At 38.8% G+C, this 20,223-nt stretch overlaps 1 protein-coding gene and 1 pseudogene across 3 annotated transcripts in view; one reads left to right on the top strand and one right to left on the bottom strand.

Moving 5' to 3' along the window:
* The window catches only part of CORIN (corin, serine peptidase), a 244,067-nt gene that overhangs the window by 126,773 nt on the left and 97,071 nt on the right, over positions 1-20,223 (top strand). For all 3 annotated transcript variants that reach the window (NM_001278585.2, NM_006587.4, NM_001278586.2), the window contains one exon: positions 18,212-18,325. In NM_001278585.2, coding sequence (NP_001265514.1) covers positions 18,212-18,325 — 114 coding nt within the window. The remainder of the gene's footprint in view (positions 1-18,211; positions 18,326-20,223) is intronic.
* RPL15P7 (ribosomal protein L15 pseudogene 7) lies at positions 4,019-4,968 on the bottom strand (annotated as a pseudogene).

Genomic DNA, 20,223 nt, shown 5'->3' with positions numbered 1-20,223 from the left:
AACGCGGGGAGTGCATTCTGATGACAACCGGCAGTCCCTGCCACATTATAGTCATGGCTCCCTTGTCTATAGAGTGGCTCCTGCAGGATGGACTTTGGTGGGTGTGGCAGGAGAGATGTGGGTGGAAGATGGGTACAGTGATCAAGGGGTCAGGTTTGAGGGGTACTGGGATGCTGAGACCCCTGCCAGTGGGACTTCTTAGGGGACTTCTCTCAAGCTTTCATCCCACTACCCTCCTTGACATTCTTTGTTCTTCAAAGTCTGAGGGCAGGGCTGCCTTCATGGGTGGGTGACTTCTGCAGGGGCACAGGACCCTACTCTCAGAAGGGATCAGCATTTGGTTTAATGCTCTGTTGTCACTGCCTTAAAATTCTTAATAACTTTATCCTTAAACTTGCATTTTGCAGGTAAGTTTGATGGGTAATAGATCATGCGTGTGAGCAGTGGGGATAGACTAGATGGTATAGCGTGTGCATCAGGGGCACATAGGCAGCATGCATGTGGGATAATTAGCCTGGCTACCCAAAGCCCATGCTTGTGCCACACCTAGTTACAAACAGGACTGGGAAATGGAGTCTTCAGCTGGTAATTACAGGGCAACAAGGTGGCCGGGCCAGTGCCTGGGCACAGATTGGCAACAGCAGAAGCAGCAGGTATGGTAGCAGCGGCCAAGGACAAGCGGGGAAGGAGGAGCTCTATAGGGGGGCAGCACTGGTACCCCTGTGAGGCCAGCCTGGCTGTTTGTCCCCAAAGTCCGTCTCTGTGGCATCTACACAAATATTAACGCTTTAGCCTGAACCTTGGGACAGAAACTGCTTGGCAACATCAGGAAGTAGACGTTATTAGTAGATTATTACAAAATAAAGTCATACACATGAACATTGCAATAAAGCATTTATCAAGGAATTATTAGAGCTCTTTAAAGATTTTAGAATCTTTGGATTTAAATGCTGAAACATTGCAAAATGAATATCCACAAGCTTAGAAACAAGTTACATTTCACATTCTCAGTGGAAAAGAACGTTATTTTCACGTGAACTTCAGATGGACCAATTATTAATGAGGAAGATAAAATAAAATGAAAATTTCCCTTGAAGTTGAAAATAGAGTTATAGAATGTATAAACAGGCACTTAAAATTATATACAAATCATGAGGCTACTTTCAATTTCTTGTACGATCTCCACAATTTTCAGCAAATGTCAGAAGAAACATCAAAATGTCATTGAATAAATTTACACTTAAAATTCAGACTTACACAAAACTGACTCATATGAAGAGTTAAGTCTTTGTATTAAAATTGTTCCATGAGACTCATCAACTCTAGACATACTAAAATTTGTATTTTGAAATAATTTATTGAAATTTATCCCAAATGTTGTCATAGCTTCTAAAATATTCTTAACAGCTCCAGTAACAGTTGCATAAGAAGAAAAATCCTTGTCAAACTTAAAAGTTAACAAAAATTGCTTGCAACCTTGTCTGTGTGTAGAGCTACTAATGCCATTTACAGCTATTCAGAATGAAAATAATTTTGCTACAGTACAATTTTGATGGCCTAAAAAATAAATTTTCAAAACATTGAGTAAGAAAAAAACCTTATAATCAATTGTGATGTCACATTAATAATGTATTGGTATTTATTTTATTTATTATTTTTAAAGGAAAAACATATTTATATTTTAGTATCTTTAAAGCACTTCTGGCCAGGTGCAGTGGTTCATGCCTGTAATTCTAGTACTTTGAGAGGCCGAGATGGGTGAGTCGCTTGAGCTCAGGAGTTTGAGACTAGCCTGGGCAACATGGCAAAACCCGTTTTTACAAAAAATACAAAAATTAGCCAGGTGTGGTGGTGGGTGCCTGTCGTCCCAGCTACTTGGGGACTGAGGTAGGAAGATTGCTTGAGCCTGGGAGATCGAGGCTGCAGTGAGCCAAGATTGTGCCACTGCACTCAAGCATGGGCGACAGAGGGAGACCTTGTGTCTAAATAAATAAATAAATAAATAAATAAATAAATAAATAAAGTACTGCAAATTATGTAGCCAGCCCTGGCTGAAGGATTTATCTATCTGTTCAGCTTTCTGCAACTGCCTCTTTGCTGTCTTTTCTATGTCTGCTGCAGAACAATATGACATCTCCTACCTTATTTTTTGTCCTGAAATATATTGCTCTTTTGAGGTTTCAAAGAGATTTGGGTTGTTAACGACAAATGGAAAGGGAGGGAAGTCAAGGCTAAGCTCCTCGTCAGGCCATTGCCCTCTTCTGTTTCTTGCTCAGCTTTTGCTTCCTGGGAAAGTCACAAGCACTTGTAGCTGATAGCTACAAAAGCACAGGGAACACTTGGTTGAACCAAGGCCTGATGTCAGATTTATTTACATTTTAGAGTATTATTCCCCAGTCTTTTGAACATTCTCATTACAGGAGTAGGATCTAACAGCAGTTCTCCTCCCACTGATCTTGCATGGCCAAGATGGCTGCCACCTTGGCTCCTCGCTGTAGGAGAAATGAGCGAAATAAGACCAGAGCCAAAGATTTCGACTAGAGAAAGATTCCAGGCTGCAGCATTTCTGACAAAGGCAATAGGAGGGAAGAAGAGGGCAGTCAGCAGGTGGGAGAGAAGGCACACTTGCTTGAGTCAGCCATTTGCAGGTGGTTGTTGGTATGGAACCCAGAGGCACATAAAAAATGAATAAGATATTAAGGCACCTGTGGTAGGGAGAATAATGACCCCCCCAAAGATGTCCATGTCCTAAATCCTGGGACCTGTAATTAGGTTATGTGGCAATGGAAATTGAAGTTGAAGATGGAAATAAGGGTGCTCCTCATCTGACCTTCAAATAGGGGAATTCTGAATTATCTCATTAGGCTCAATGCAGTCACAAGCATCTTTAAAAAGGTAGGCAGAAGAGGAGAGTCAGAGAAGGAGATGTGATGACAGCCCTAAGATCAAACAACTGCCATGTTACTGGCTTTGAAGACAAAGGGGATCCATGTGCCAAGAAATGAGGGATGCCTCTAGAAGACAGCTTTGCCAACACCTTGATTTTATCCCAGTGAGACCCCTGTTGGACTTTTGACTTCCAGCATTGTGGGAGAATAAATTTCTGTCGTTTTCAGCCACCCAATTTGTGGCAAATTTTTATGGCAGCAATAGGAAACTAATACGGCCCTCTTGAGCATTGATATTAACAGCATGAACTCTGGAGTCAAACTGCTTAGATTCTGATATGTAGCTCCACCACCTATTAGCTATTTTATGGGGAAAGTAACTGGAGCTTTAGTTTCATCCTCTAGTCAACGAGGTTATCACCTCTTGAATGTGTTCTATGGAAAAATGAAGGTAAAGTCTTTAAGACATATACTGTGAAGAGAAAGCACCAGATAAGTATTAGCTTTAAAAGGATCATGGATGCCTGGCTCTTAGCATGGCAAAGGACTTCCCTCCACTCTTACTCCCTTGTAATTTACTACTCCCCTCTTCTTTAGCCCCTGCTAACCCCACACTGACCCCTGGTCCTGTAGGGTCAGTACATACCCAGGTATATTCTCACCAGGGCCCCATTCTTTAGATGCCACCCTTTCCTATTTTCTCATCTAAATTCTCTAATGTCTTTTAAAAAGTAGAAATAAAGAAGATGAATATATTAAGTGCTATCTGCTGAGGTATTAATCACTGATAATGGCTTCATCTCTTAAGGTCCTGTAGTTTTGCCATGTCCAGGACTGTGCCTTTTGTGGAGAGCCTCTGGAAATCTTGGTTAGTTGCAAGATAGAGGAGTCCTTAGGAATTGGCTTTTAATTGAGGACTTTTGGCTTAAGTTAAACGAGTGGGATTCACAGTGAGGAATTTCAGCTGGGAAATATTTTAAGCAGAGAGACCTCCCAGGATTCCTTCGAATTATACCACATTTTATGAAGTTTTTGGCCTCCTGTTCTGTCTACTTTTAAGCAGTCTTGAAATGACTGTCACAAAATTTTCATAGGATAGTTGCTGAGAAAAGTTGGTAGTTTTCTTTTTTTTCTCTTCTTTTAAGAATTTATTAAGCCTATTATACCACGCAGTATGTTTTATACACTAACATACAACTCCCTAATAAGATAAAGCAAAGATAAAAAAGTTTATCTTATTAGAAACAAGATACACCACCACTTATTGTCTTCAAACATTATTGCACTTTAACTTTCTTAATTTGACAAAGCATTCAAGAAACATCTGCAGACTAGTTTTAACAGACAAATAACACCTGTAAGCAGACATGACTGTCCTAAATTGTTTATTAGGTATGAATTTTACAAACTTTACTTGTATTAGCGGTAACGGTGGAGCTGGAGAGTATTGCGCCTTCTCCAAGCTGCCCGGCGAGAACCACAAATAGTGTGGTGGAACTTATGGCCCTTTCCAAGGCCACGGCTCTTTCGGCCTGCAGATGTCAGCCCACGCATCTCCCTGTGCTTGTGGACTGGTTTGGTGATCCATGGGGTGTCAGGATTTCTTCTGATAGCTTTATGGAATGGATCAATGAGGATAACCTCAAAAAATTTGTATGTGGAATCTTCACCAACCCAGTAAGAATTCAGGACTCCCAGAGCCCCACAGTGGCGTCCAGCTCGCTCCTCCGCAACGGACTGAAGGCTTCGAGCAAAATTTTAGCTGGTTAACACCATGATGGACAGGCTTGCCGTAAGTTGCACCCTTAGGAACTGGGCGTTTTCGGCCACCACGGCTAACACAAATCCTATGTATAACGTAACCTTGCTTGGCCTTGTAGCCCAGTTGGCGCGCTTTATCAGGCCGGGTGGGGCGGGGAGCCCTGTGAAGAGCAGAGAGCTGGCGGTACTGCCAGCAGCGGACCCTCAGAAGAAAGCGCGTGACATCAGACTGCTTCTTTCTCCATAGCTCCTGGATATACTTGTATGCACCCATCTTGGCTTACCTGATGGCTGCCGCCAGACGGAAAGGCAAAAGTTGGTAGTTTTCTTGAAAGTCCATAGAGTAGAGCAGTTTAGAGCTTATGATACCAACAAATTTCGGAAGAACTTTTCTACAGCTGTGAAGAATTTCATTTCAATCTGGATACCACGGTGAGAAATTCTAACAGGGATTTGTAATGAGATTATCTTGTAATGAGATCACCTGCTGAAAAATCCATTCAGCATCCACAGAAATCACATTATGTACAAATTAGTAGTAAAAATGTATAAAAAGCCATTTGAAACAAAACTGGCTGAGTAAAAACTGAATTTCTGAAGTTATTGTTTATTATAAGAATGTAAAAAGCAAATTCTAAAATAAATGCACAAATAACATAGTTATTGGTTTATGAGGATTCATATTTTTGTGTTGGCATGTAAAATGCAAAATGATTTTTAAAAGAGCTATGATTTTGTTTTAAAATAAATACTGAAAACACATGAAATAGGATGGTTTTCAAATACTGTTACACACGGGGGGCACTTCACAAATATTTTACGGGCCGTGTGCTTGAATTTATGATGTGGTCTCCCTCTTGTGGTAGGTGTTAAGAAAGGTACTGGCTTCAAAGCAGTTAATAAATTTCTTTCCCTTTTGCTGAAATTTGAATCTGGAAAGCATTTTGAGAGGTCAGGCTACGTATTTTTCATTTTGACTATGGCTTTTGGGAAGCTTGATTATTTTAACAAAAATCAACCGATTGATCAATCTGTCTCCTCCCCCTATGGCCACGTCGAAATCAGTTTTGACTATTAGGAAATCTGACCTAGTTTCTCTATCTTGTGGCCTGTTTTTGGTGTATTGTGGCCAGAATGTATCTCTTAATTTTGGCAGTAGTATTTTCCATCTGCTTTAGAAAGGCTCTAGGTGAATGCAAAGTTTATTTAGTTCATGCTCTACACTTGTCACTCTTCTGGGTCCTTCAGCCACAGCAAGAAACCAAACAGGTAAAATTCACTGCCCTCACAGAGTTTTTGTTCTATCACAAATATAAGCATGGTTTATGAAGACGTAAACCATAAAGACTGACATGTTAGACTTCACGTTTGCAAAACTTTCATGTAGCTGAAGAAGCTATAGATTTAAAAGACAAATACAGGAAACACTGGGAGAAAATAATTGCAACACAAGGAGCTCTGATAAACCAGTCAGGGGGAAAAAAAGCAGTAGAAATGTGTGCAAACAGTAGGAGTAGGCATAAACTGTGAAGGGCTTTCACTTACCTTAAGTAATCATTGGTAGAAGTGGGATTTCATTATTTCAGATTTACTCAGTCGCAATCACAAGCCAAGTATGCCCTTCAGAAAAGATATCTCTTAGCTGAAATCCACTGGGTCGCCATGCCTCTCACCAGTTGAGGGGATCAGGCTGAATTCTTCCCTGTGTGTGCCTCACAGCGACTACGTGCTGAGTATGGCTGCCATCGTGTGATATGGCTTGGGAACTGCACGTGTCCTACCCTTTTGTCAAGTGGAAAAAAATGAACCTTCTCTCAGAAGTATCACCTGTATTCTGAGTTCAGCCCCTCCTCCCACACCCTCCACCACTGACATATCTTCATGTTATGAAACCTCTCGGGGTTAAGCATATTCAGTTGATCGATAGCGTGTTTTTAGAGGAGACTCTGTATCTGCTCAAATTGCAGCAATGAGAGTTCATAGGAATAGGAGCACAGTTTTTGACTTCCCGTTATCTGCTCAATGCGTTCCCTCTTTATGGATAAAGTAGACCATTCTCTGCTTGACTCAGGGCTAATCTTAAGGCCAGATATTTTCTGTACATTTCTTCCCCTGTAGTCTCTCCTGAAACTTCAACCTCTTTGAACCTCTTACCCCTTATTGCCCTGGCTCGTTCTGTCTCCTTGATTGGATGGCTATAGATTGTTCACAGGGGCCATCATTCCTGTTTACCAGTATAAAAGAACATGTGAGTCCTGTGAAGATTCTGGAAACATTTTAGCAGTTTTTCTCCCCTCCCTGCTGAGTGCTTGGATGTTGTGTAACCAATCCTCTAGACTTAGCAAATTGGGAGCTATGACTCTGGAATGCGAGTTAATTAAATTGTGCTTGTATTTAGTTTTACGCAAGGTTAATTTTTTTTTCCCCTGTTAGGTTTAGTCTGTGTGGCTTTGTTATATGCAATCCTGGTAACTAGGGATACTGAGAGAGATTTTATGTAGTGTGCTGTGAAAGGCATGCGGTAGTAGAAAAGCGGAGGAGCCTGGGAGAAAGAATCCAGAGACCTCTGTGTTCCACCAGCGTGTAAATCATTTAACAGGACACAAACGATTAAACAGTGAAAATCAACTTTCCTGAAGCAATTGACTTCCTTTTCTGTTTATGAGCCAAAGAGAAGTTCGTATTAAATAATTCTGTTCCTAGATGTTGTTGTATTAATGCCTGTGTGTGTTGATCACTTGAGACCACTTTCTCCTCCAGTTATCTGGGTTGTTTCAAAGAACCCAGGTGCCCCTACCTTCCAAGTCTAAGTAGATATGCTATATCCATAAGTTTGGGGGTTAGGACCTCAGCTTAACTGCAGGTTAACCCTTTAAGCAAAAGGCGTTTTTCAATAGTTTGAGATGGCCATCTTTCAGAGGTGAGTTGTACACTTCCCAGCCTTAGTAAACAGAACATACTGGGCCTTACCTGATTTGGTGCTCGGCACTTTATGTCCATTACTGATTAATATACTCAGAGACGATCCCAAAGTAGGTGGGATTCAGGTAAGGAAACTGAAGCTCAGAAAAGTTAAGTAATTCGCCAAAGCAGCGCAGATAGTGTAAGTTTAAATACCAATCTCTGCTTTTCTACAAGATTACCTTTATTTTCCTATCTCAGGTCATGATTGTGAATAGTTTCTTTTCTGGTCTGTAGATTCAGTATTAGTGTGGATATCAGGGTGTTTATGAACTCATTTCCTCACCATTAACTTTTTTCTCTTAATTATGGTAGTGTTCAGAATGGAAGTTATCTGATTATTCTGGGGTAGTTTAAGCATGAAGGGTCAGATGTTCAGAAGTAGCTAGGTTTTCCCAATTCTACCTTGACCCAGTGAATATGTGCTGTCACTACCGGCTGCTGCATGGGAGCTGGTGGGTGGGGTTTATGTGGTGAGTGAAGGGAATGGAGAGTATAGGAGGGGCTCCAGCGGAGTGCTGACCTAGGGCTTCAGAATCTTGGCATCCAACCGCTGGTTATCCAATCCGGAAGATAGTTGAGGTCCTACAGTACCAATATCCTGAAGATCAGTGGATTTTTAAAAATGCTAATGCTGAGAAATACCTAATGTAGATGACGGGTTGATGGGTGCAGCACACCACCATGGCATGTGTATACCTATGTAACAAACCTGCACGTTCTGCACATGTATCCCAGAACTTAAAGTATAATAAAAAAAAGAAAAAAAAAGAATGCTAATGCTTTGAAATAGTCAAGTTATGGTAATCAACAATAGAGAGTAGGTAGGAAAGTGATGCAATACATTCTTCATGGGATTGGAAGTGAATTTTTAGACATTAGGGTAGAACCGTAATCTGTTTTTGAAAGATATTTTTCAAAGTTCTTTTCACTGTAAATTTGAAAGAAGTATGTTTTTTTTCTATTTCTGGTTCTCAGGATACATAATATTGTAAAGTCATAGGCAATTTATTTTAGCTTTTAAATAGCCAATACATAAAATGGACTAAAAGAAACTGTGATTAAAAATAAGTTTGGTTAGAGTTGGAATGAAGTCCACAAATTGTTAACTTGTAAAATGAAATTTGTTCAATTTGTACAGTATAGCCCAACGAATAAGAAAAATACCATGGGATGGCTCTTCAAACTGATGATTTTTCTTTGTTTATGTTTGTCCTAAGTCTTTCCATAAACGTTGTGACTGAGTTACACATTTAAAAAAGGTCTAGAAAAAATACTAATATATATATAGCTTTTCAGATACTACCATATGTATGCAAGAGACTATTTTCTTTCCAAATAAAATTTATCTCCTTTATTTTTCTTAGATTTATATGCAATCATTTAACTCTTTTATAGAAACCATCCTGTATTTGTTTAAAATTTGTCAGAAGTAGTTTATATGTTGTTCCATTGCTATCATTTTATGATTCATAGTGAATAAATGCAAAATGTCACTTGAAACAGCCTTATAATTGGAGGAAAGTCTCAAAAATATATTAAAGTATTATTAAACACAATTTTTTTAAAGAAACTAAGTGTTTATTTCCTAAAACAAATTCGGAAGGTAGCACCTCCCAAGAAACCTAAATGAGAAATTATCTTTGAATTTAGAAACATCTGTCTGTCTCATTGAGAGGCAGATAGATAATAAGCAAAAAAGTTTAAAAATTGCCCATGTTTTTTAGAAATTTGAAATTATGTTACTGCACTTCTGTTCAGGAAATGATAAATAACAGAATCATGATGTACATCTTGTTTTCCAACGATTTAAAAAAAATGCTTCCAGGTCATATTTAGGACTTCTCCCTCACCCCTCCCTCCCGCCCTTCCTTCCTTCCTTCCAAAATTGAAATGTAATTAAGATTCTTTAGATTTCTGCTTGGCCTTCAGTTTCTGGCAGTCTCTGATCATAAAGCTTAGCTTCCTGCTTTTTACTCTGCCTTTTAAAAAAAACTTTCTACTTTTTAAATTAGATTTAAAATCTACTGGGTAGGATTTTTTACTGTGACTGTACTTGAAATGTTGAATGATGACATGGAAATGCTTTCTAAATTCTATTTACATTCTCTCTCCTATCAAAGTGCCACCAGTTACAGATCTATTCTGTTGTTTCTTGACAATGTTTTAGAAAATGTTATGATGACTAATTTTTTTTTATAGAGTAATAGCTCTTCCATCATGCTATCAGGCAGGCAATAAGTATACTTAGCTCTTATTTTTAGGAATTTAAGCTGAAGGCCAGATGGCAAAGTTTTCATTGAATCAAAGCATAGCTTTATTTCAAAGGAAAAAAATGAACCAATGAGTTGACTTAATTTCAGGAGTTGTTTGGGATTTTCTCTGAACATTTGTTTGACAGAGACAGTTTCTCACTAATTAAAAGATATATAAATGACACCAAGGGACGTTGAATGAAAGAGTTGTATTGTTGTCAAGGGGCTGATTTTACCTTGTCTTTGCAGCAAGGTGAAGCCTACAGCCCATAAAAGAAGATGTCACCATGACATTGCCTTTTTTAGAATATTGATGTTAAGAGCTCCTTAAGTGCATTTATTCAGCAGGCATTTACCAACCACCTATCATATGCTACTTTTCACCAAAAATGTGTAAGTTAAAAGGTACTAATGGAGACCTTTGCATTCTCAGTAGTGAAGGAAACATCAGTATAATAGCACCATCTACTAAGAAGACAAAACAAAAAAAAGTGTGTTTTCATCTCTGCAGCCTCCGGAAAGGGAAAGCAGCATTGAGGAGGGAAGGACTGAGCAGAGATTGTGTTGGGTCACCCAGGTTGAGTGGCATGGAGAGAAATGTCTGGAGGGTGGAGGAGGAAGCAGGGGGATGTAGGATGGCCTTCCCATTATATAGCAGAGACCAGTGCTCACGTGCTTGTAGAAGAGGCTGGACCTCCAAAAGGAATGGCTGTGTGGGGCAGCCAGGAAAGCTGGACCCTGGGGACCATGGCCCTGTACCCTGGCTTGGCACAGACACAATGGCGCGTTCTGTCTAGCACTCACTTGAGGACTTAGAGGCCATGAGCCTCTGGCAGTTCTCTGAGGAATGAAAGCTAGAAGTCCTTCCTTCGTTCTTCCAGGTTCCATGTAAGCCCCTTGCATCCTTGTACCATCCTAAGGAGGGAGAGATCCCTGCAAAATATGCCTGAAAGATCTTTCTCATCAGCTTTTTGAGTGGGGAAGTATGAATTTACTTTAAGAAAATATTGTGGCTTTTCTTGTACCCTGATGTAACAGCGTTGAATCCACACACTGTACACCTTCAAGCAGGGCTATTCTGAGCTCATTTGTGGGTCCAGGTGTCACTTCTTACTCTGAGTCTTCATGTTCTATACCTTTCCTGAGTCCCCCTCTACCCCTAAAAGTCACTCATTCTATGTTTCATTTCTCAAGTCTAAGTACAATGAAAAGCTAATGATAACATAAAGCTAAACAGTCTATAATTACATTCAGAACTAAGTGTTCAACTGAACAGAAAATCTTAAGGGTGAAGGAGTTTTCAAACTTGTTTTTGACAACAAAAGCCCATTTTCAAAGAAAATTTTCCATGGACTCATGTGTATAAAGCAGCCAACAGTAGAGCTCTTTGGTTGAAATGGAGTAGGAAACTGAATACACCCCTTTAATCCATGATGTGGCCCCAAAGCCCCTTTCCTTGCTAACCTAGAGTTCTTCTAAAACCTACCATTTTAACCCAAAGTGTGGGTAATGTGGGTGTCAGGGGTGGAATGTTAGACACATCATCACAGGCCAGTGGGGAAGATTATTTTCCGCAGAAGGGCCATCTGTTGTCCTACTAAGAGCAAATGCCACTCATAAACCAGATGTGTCTGCAGGCTTGAGTGAGCATCACACTGTAACACAAAGGGATTTTTATTCCTGCATCAGTAGTTTATTCTCCTAGCAATGTAAATAATAAGTTGTAAGATATTCATTGCCATTGAGAGCCAATAAATAGGAACGATCATTTATTCATGCTCCATAGACACCTCATATTCTCAGTCTTCATTTATTTATCCAACAGATATCTAACTTGCACGTATAATGTGTCAGTTCTATTCTAGACTCAGGGTATAGCAGTAAGAAAAACTGATAAAATGCCTTTCTTCAAGGAAATTGCATTCTAGAAGGGAGAGAGAGACAATCAGCAAACGGAAATCTTCTGTGAATATAAATTATGTGAGCTATAATAAAACAGTTTTTTTAAAGAAGACTGCAATTTTGATGGTCTTGGGCACTGGCACTATTAGGAGTGGTTAGTGTAGTGCCTGCCCTGCATTTAATAGATGTCTAAGAAGAGAGTGAGAAGGATTGCTTAGCTTGGAACACAGATACTTCTGAGGAAGCCACATTTAATGATGGGATTAGAGGGACAGAAAGACATAGATTGAATTCATTTTTAGATTGTAAGTATATTCTTGATGTGGATGATACTCTGTTTTCAAAAGAAAGTTTGAAATTTCCCAAGCTCCTAGATATTCAAGGATGGTCATTGTTTATTTGACCTGAGCCAACCTATAGTCAGAAGTTAGTACTGTCAGTCATATATTGCCTAACGATGGGTATACATTCTAAGAAGTGTGTTGGTAGGTGATTTCATCATGTGCAAACATCAGAGTGTACTTACACGAACCTAGATGTAGAGCCTACTACACGTCCAGGCTATGCAGTCCAGCCTATGGCTTTTAGGCTACAAACCTATACAGTATGTTACTGTACTGAATACTCTAGGCAGTTGTAATACAATAAGCATTTGTGTATGTAAACATATCTGCACATAGAAAAGGTACAGTAAAAATTTGGTATTGTAATCCTATGGGGCCACTGTTGTATATGTAGTCCATTGTTAAGAAAAATGTTGTTACGTGGTACATGGCTTGTACATCCAGCATCCACTCATGTCTCAGTACCTCCACAGCTACTCAATAAATAGACTCCCAGCTGCTATCCCTACTTCTTCCCTTGTCCCCCTAGAGTCTATTTCCAACACAATAGGCAGAGCAATCCTTTAAGAATTTCAGTCAGATCATGCCACTCTTTACCGAAAACCATGTAATGACTCTTGTGTTAAAGTTACAAAGTCCTTACAAAGGCCTGCAGAGCCTTGTGTGTTTGGACCCTCCCTTCTGCTTGGCCTCATTCTTGTGCTTGGTCCCTGCTCATGCTACTCTAGCCACACAGGTCTTTTTGCTGATCCTGACACCTGCCGGGCAGACTCTTGCCGGAGGAACTTTGCACTAGCTCTTCCTTGAATCTTCCTGAGACTCCCTCACCTCTTTCAAGTTGTTGCTCAAATGTCAGGTTTGAGTGAGGCCTGCCCTGGCACCCTAATTAATATTGGGTGCCAATATTAATAATATTAATGTTATTACCCCACTCCTATACCCTATACCTCCCTTACCCTGCAGTACTCTCTTCTTCATAGCATTTATTAACATCTTGTGTGTTATATAAGAATTTTAAAATTATGCTTATTGATATAGTTTGTCATTCTAGAGTATAAGCTTCCCAAGGCAAGGGAGCTATTCTGTATTCAAAAATACATAATACAGAATAGTATTAATTATTCTATAATAATTAATTATTATAGAATATACAGAATAATAGTTATTCTGTAATAATACAGAATGTTAAAGAAATGAGTGCATAAATCAGAGGGCAACACAAGCCTTGCAGATGGAGGAAGGCGTGTGTTATATCTCCAGTTCCTCATGAAATAACTTAAAATACGTCATTAGATATTTCTATTTTCCAAAAAATGGAAATACTGTACTTCTAATGGAGACTCAGCCACCTTTTCAAATTTCTCTCTCCCCCAGCACAGTGCCCAGCAGCACCAGCTCCCCTTTCTCCTCATGGGAATTCTCACTCCTCTTATTTTTTATTTTCATTTTTATTTTATTTTATTTTTTGAGACAGAGTCTCCCTCTGTTGCCTAGGCTGGAGCACAGTGGCATGATCTTGGCTCACTGCAACCTCCGCCTCCCAGGTTCAAGCGATTGATTCTCTTGCCTCGCCTCCTGGGTAGCTGAGATTACAGGTACATGTCTCTATGCCCAGCTAATTTTTGTATTTTTAGTAGAGATGGGGTTTCACCATGTTGGCCAGGCTGGTCTTGAACCCCTGACCTCAGGCGATCTGCCCGCCTCGGCCTTCCAAAGTGCTGGGATTACAGGCATGCGGCACTGCACCTGGCCCCTCACTCCTTTTGTACTCAGAGCTTCCAGACCCTCATCCATACCTACTGAAAATATCTTAATTTCAGCAGAATGAAGGGCCTTCCATCTAATATGACTCACCTCCTCAGAAGGCAGGGTAAAGTCCATGTTGGGTTGGTTGAGCACACCCTTAGATTTTCTCTCCCCTTTCTCACCTCTTGTCTTTTACCCCAATCCTTTTACCAATCTATTGTGCCTACAGATACAGTGCTCTCCCCAAGAAGTATTCTTGTATCAGCCGCTGAAAGATTACACTCAGTCTTTTTCATCTAATGACATAACCTTGTAAAAGGTAAGGGCAATAGTGGTTTATAGTACTTGATTTCGAGCAGCATGGAGAATGGAGCGCTGACAGGCTCTCAGCACGGGCCCATGTGATGTGCAGAGCTGTGTCAGCTTTCTCTTCCGAGGTGGAGTTGAAACTGAGCTTTTGACTTTCAGCAAGGACTCAAAGACAGGGCAAGTAAGGGCACCATACAGTCCGTGGCAGGCTGGTGGATAATTTTTGAAAAGGACTCTAAAAGTTAACAACCAGAATAATAAGAGCATTTGCCAATAATATTGATACACAGACAGAGAGAGCCTAGGAAGCTGGAAGCAATTGCAGAAAATCTCAAGGTGATTTCAGGCTAGGGATTATTATTTTAGCAGTCTGTTGTCAGAGACAAGAATGCTGAAAAGAGCTGATCATCCTTTGGGTATGTACTCTTCAAGATCCATGTCATTCTGAAGTCCAGGGGATCCATAATTGTCCCCATCATCTGGACATGTAAACTAGCTTTTTAGGCAGTATAACTTCATATACTGCTATTTTTGCAGTAGTATTAATTAACTGTCCCATGTGTAATGGAAGTCAGCTTTGGCAGTGAAGTATCTTTACTTGGTAAAATTATCTTCATCAGATGATGATCAATAGAATATATGCTCTATTTGGGGATTTTTTTTTGTTTTCTTCTCTGCTATATTACCAGAGGCTAGAATAGTACTTTGCACATAGTAGACACTCAGTAAATATATATTCAATGAATGAACGAATGTTCCAGTTATCAATCTGCCATTGATTTAAATTCCAACATATACCTCTTAGAATTATAGTTAGTGGAAATAGTTTCAAGATTGTATAGCATGACTTCTCATGGAATCTCCCTTTGTCATCCTAAGGGGCCACTCAAAAGCCTGTTGGAAAATGATTGTTATAAGACAGTGATATTTATGGTAGAAAAATCTCTACAGAAACCTGATAAGAGCTCTCTCAGGGTGTTCAAAAAAAGTAGAACTGACATGGAATGTCATCTCATCTGGATCCAATTCACTGCAAGACAGACATTTGTCTTTTGTTTAGAGAGAAAAAGACAATGTTGAAGTTTTACTCAAACCTAGTGCCCTTAAACTGGCCGAGTATCAGCCGACTACACTATTGCACAAGTACCAGGAACAGGGGAGTGGGTGTGGCATGGAGGATTGGGCCTAGATCATAGACCTTGGGATTTGGGGTGTTTTTCATCTTTCCTTAATTATGTGGCTTTGGCCCATTTCAATGTTGACCTCATGATACTTCATTTCCTTCATTTGTAAACTACCAAATAAAATATGTTTGTAGTACTTTAATAATTGAACAGTTTTATACAAGTAAAGTGGAAATTCTGAATACAGGTTAAGAAGAAATCAAACAGAAAGATTTTACAAAAGTTATTCTAGTTTTATAAAAGTAATATTAACTACCAAAACTGTGAACTTTCAAAAAAGAACAAGAATACAGTAACAATTTATGATACCCTAAAACCAAGGACAGCCACACTTCCAGATGAGGAACCACACAAAAGAAGTCAGTTTCTGCTGAATCAGCCAAGACAGGGGATATCAATAATCAAAACAATGCAAGCTGTGCTGGGTTTTAAATTTGATCCAGATTTGAGATGACCATATGCAAGAAATGGCTTTACTGGAGTCAAATATGTAGGGTCTTAAAGATAAAATCTGGAGGTTAGGAGCTATTGAATCTTGAGCTTTCAGTTCCATTTCCTGAGGAATCATCGGAGCCATAGGTGGGGAATGCAATAATTCTTGTGAGGCATTGCAGCTGCTGAAATGCAGACATATGGAATTTTTGCACTCTCTAGTATAATACAGAAACAATCTCACAATAAGATAAACCCTCCTTTAAAACTTTCTCTTAAACCCAGAGAGAGGATATTGTACAGACTGGATAGGTAAAATCTTAGTATTTTGGTTTTTCATTTTTAGATCTGGTTTTCTATGAATCGTTTAGGAGTCTGTATTTGTAGGTATAGGAGTGCACTCCTGTGCGGAATCTTCTGACACCATACTAAACATGTTGGATATTTTGGCAGTTGAAATCCATAGATGTAATTTGTATTGATACTGAAATTATGGACTATAATGGAAAACTGGGCTTTTGTTGTTGATATTGTGAAGATGTTACATGAAGTAGTATCATAAGAAACTTACCAGATCAACTAATGCTTAATGTTCAATGAGTTGAAATGCTGATTTCCTTGATAGCATTGGGAAATAATTCATTAATTTTGTTTTTTTTCTGCTTTATGGCAATATATTGTTCTATTAGGGATTTAGGTAACTTTTTCCATTGAATCGAGAACCTCCTGAGTGCCAGCCACTGGCTGGGTCCCAGGAACATGGGTGGGAAATATATTAATCGAGAACCTCCTGAGTGCCAGGCACTCCGCTGGGTCCTAGGAACATGATGGGAACTATAACAGACATGGGCTTCATTGACTGGAGCTTTCAGCCTGTACTTTTCTCTATTTCTATTGCTGAGTTAAAATGTTCCATATTCCTGGATTCCCTGTAACTAGTCAACAAGGTTCATCTTATCAAGGAATACATACTGCAGGGAATGGTGGCAGTGACCAGGCAACTGACCACACAGTCAACACACACACACACATACACAAACACACACACACACAAGCTTTGGTGGAAGGTGAGAGAGAGACAGAAGGAGATTTTTGAAGGTTCTACTTAACTTTTTTTTATCTGAAACTAGAGCTCATAAAAAAGTTATTTTTTTCCCAGCTAAAAAGATAAAACATCATCATTGTAAGAAAATTTGTAAAATGCAGAATACAATACAGTAAAAAGTAAACTTACTTTAATCCTAATACCAAAGATAATATACCTCTCCCGATGCCAAACTGTATTTTGTTTTCTAGGACCAGTTGGTGTTTTCTCATCTAAAGTAGCTTGAACTTTGTCCTAGGACATTAAGTATTTTCTACAATGTAGTTTTCAATGGCTGTAACAGTATTCCTCATTATGGTGGTATCAAAATTTATTTAACTAGCCCCTGAATATTGCATAGTGGTTATTTCATAGTTTCCTCATTTTAAACAATGATGGTATGAATATCATTAAACATAAAACATAAATTCATAATGATTTCCTTTTTGTGAAGTCTAAGAAATAAGATGATTCCTGAGTCAAAGATTATGCACACTTAAAAGGCATTTGATGCACATTACCAAATATTTTTTATCTTAACATCCACTTTGTTGAGCTGATTTATCCTTTTATTAATGGTCTTCCTGAAAAATTTTGTATCTTTTTGTCTTAAATTTATTGTCTACTGTAATTTTGAAGCAGTGGAATACTTATTGCATTTTGAAGAGAAAAAGAACACCAAAATATTAAAAGCAAAAATATAAAAATGTCACTGTGTTAAGGAAAAATAAATGAAAATTTTATTAGTGAATGCCATTTCCCGTTCCTTATGCCAAAATAGACGCTGACATTTTAACTGGCATTTTCATTAAGGCAAGTAAATACATTTCAAATACAGGGCACTGGGTCTCTATGCTATGTTCAAACACACAGTAAATGGTTATTTACTGACTCTGTTTTTACTGGAACTTTCTCTGTGGTACATAGAGTAGCTTTTTAGAAAGGTAGACTTTTTAAATGTTGGTTCAATTAGTAGCACTTTACTTGGACATAATTTTCAATTATTTAGAAAGATACACCCATTGGGTATTCTCCCCACATAAATTGTGCAAATGATGAAGCTACCCTCTTGCTCTCTGAACATGGATGCCTCACTCTGCAAGCCCACTGGTGAACTATCTCCTGCTTTCCTCAGACAAGCAATCACTCTTTGTATTATTTCCAGGTAATTTTTCAATTAATGTGCTAGGATGCCAAAGAAAAATTGATGACAATAAAACTGAGGGAATTTGGAAACAAATCTGTTGAATAGCAAAAGAAGATTTTCTATGTATTTATTTTTTGTAATCTTAAAAGAAAAAAAACCCATCTTATTCTGACATTATTTCCTGCCCTTTTTTTTTAGTGCTCTGTGGAAGGGGTGAGAACTTTCTGTGTGCCAGTGGAATCTGCATCCCCGGGAAACTGCAATGTAATGGCTACAACGACTGTGACGACTGGAGTGACGAGGCTCATTGCAGTATGTGACAAGCTGTTTAGGGTTTGTCTGAGTGGACAGGGATTCTCAAATCCTGACAATCATCAGCATTTGTGTAGACTGCTTTTTGTTTGCCTTTCTAAAGCGAGCAAACGTGTTTATCTTCCCCCAGAATGACAGCAGCATGTTTGCACACCTTTCAAAGGCATGGTTTATTAGGAGCTCAACAGGTAGAGGCTGCATTGGAACAGATGAGGGATTGCAGCGTTTTTGCACAAAGTGGTTTAAATTGGGAGAAGGCTTTGGTTTATTTTGATTGGGTGAGAATTTTCATTTTTGTTTATGAGTATAAAGGTCAATTTTTTTTAAAAAAGGACATTTTTATAGCAACATTTTCACCCTAATGATTCTTAACTTTCATGACACAGTAAATACAAAGCCTCTTGTTTTTTTTTTTATGCTTCTTCCAAACCTGGAGATAGTCAATGGCACTAACTGTTTAAAATCCACTAATCAGTAGATTCAGCCTTATGTGTCCTCAATTTATTCCCCATTGATTGATTAGTCATTTTGACTGAATTGGCCAGTGGTTTGTCCAATATAGATTCAGATTTCAAGTTGTTTTGCACTTACAAACTGGAAAGAAGGGGAAAACCATCCTGAAGAAGTACATTGTAATAAACAAAGCTAGTGTCCTATTTGTTCACCCCTAGTAGGTTAAAAAAAGAAAACAATTACACTGAGTAATCTGTATTCAAAACAGAAGTATCTCCAATTAGAACACTACATGCAAGAGTTCTAATTGTTCTTTAAGGGTTATATAAACAGCCACAGTTAGTATGGCAAGAGCTGTGTTTCACTCCTTATGGGAATTGCCAAGATGTAATAAGTGCTTGAGAATACTGATCTTAATCAAAAAATTCTTCTGGTCTGTTTGCCAAATGGACCAACTCATCTTTCATCTGAGTTCTAATTGTTCTTTAAGGGTTATATAAACAGCCACAGTTAGTATGGCAAGAGCTGTGTTTCACTCCTCATGGGAATTGCCAAGATGTAATAAGTGCTTGAGAATACTGATCTTAATCAAAAAATTCTTCTGGTCTGTTTGCCAAATGGACCAACTCATCTTTCATCTGATGGGCTAGGACGCTCCTTTGTCCTGCTGAATGGCAGAACTACTGAATGGCAGTTTATCATGGTAACATTTCAGGTCAGTGTTTCCCAAACTGGTGTTTCATGTAGTATCTGAGTCTGGAATAATGCTTGAAAAAAAAAAACTTTGGGAAATACTATCAGGTCTACTTCTTAGAGGGTTAGAATACACATTTGTATATTAGAGGTTCTGAGAAATTCTGTAGTTTTAAAAAAAGACATTTGCCTAACTTTTTATTTCATCAGAATTATTTCTCATGTGAATCTTCACCTTTATTTATTCATTTATTCATGCATTTTTTATTCTGCCTACTATCTAGCATCCCGTGGAACTTCAATTATGCCACGCATATTTCAGGAAACGTTCTTTTCAGTAAGAAATTTGTGTTTTACGACTTGGAATTTTCTTTTCAAAACAACGCATGGCACACAATTTTACATAAAAACATTTTTGTAGGCTGTGTATTTACACTGGGAAGTGTTGCTGTGGGCTTAGCAGAAGATGCTGTGCAAAGCAGCCAAAATAGGGAACTTTAAATAATTCAATGTAACGATATCCAATTTATGGGAATTTGGTAGAATCTCTAGCTATTCTCCCATTGTGGCCCAAGTTATGGTATTGTTCAAATTCTGCATATGCCTGTATCTCCTGTGGTGGGCCAACTATGGTTTTTATCATATGTTCCTCAATAGTACTGAGCATTGCACTCCAAACCCTGTAAGTGCTTTCTGCTGCATTTGTTAACATTAAATTTGAAGGGGCTAATTTTCCTTGTCAACAACGTGTT

The sequence above is a fragment of the Homo sapiens genome, chromosome 4 (assembly GCF_000001405.40).
Source record: "Homo sapiens chromosome 4, GRCh38.p14 Primary Assembly".
NCBI lineage: Eukaryota > Metazoa > Chordata > Mammalia > Primates > Hominidae > Homo > Homo sapiens.
This window is presented reverse-complemented; position numbering and strand designations above follow the sequence as displayed.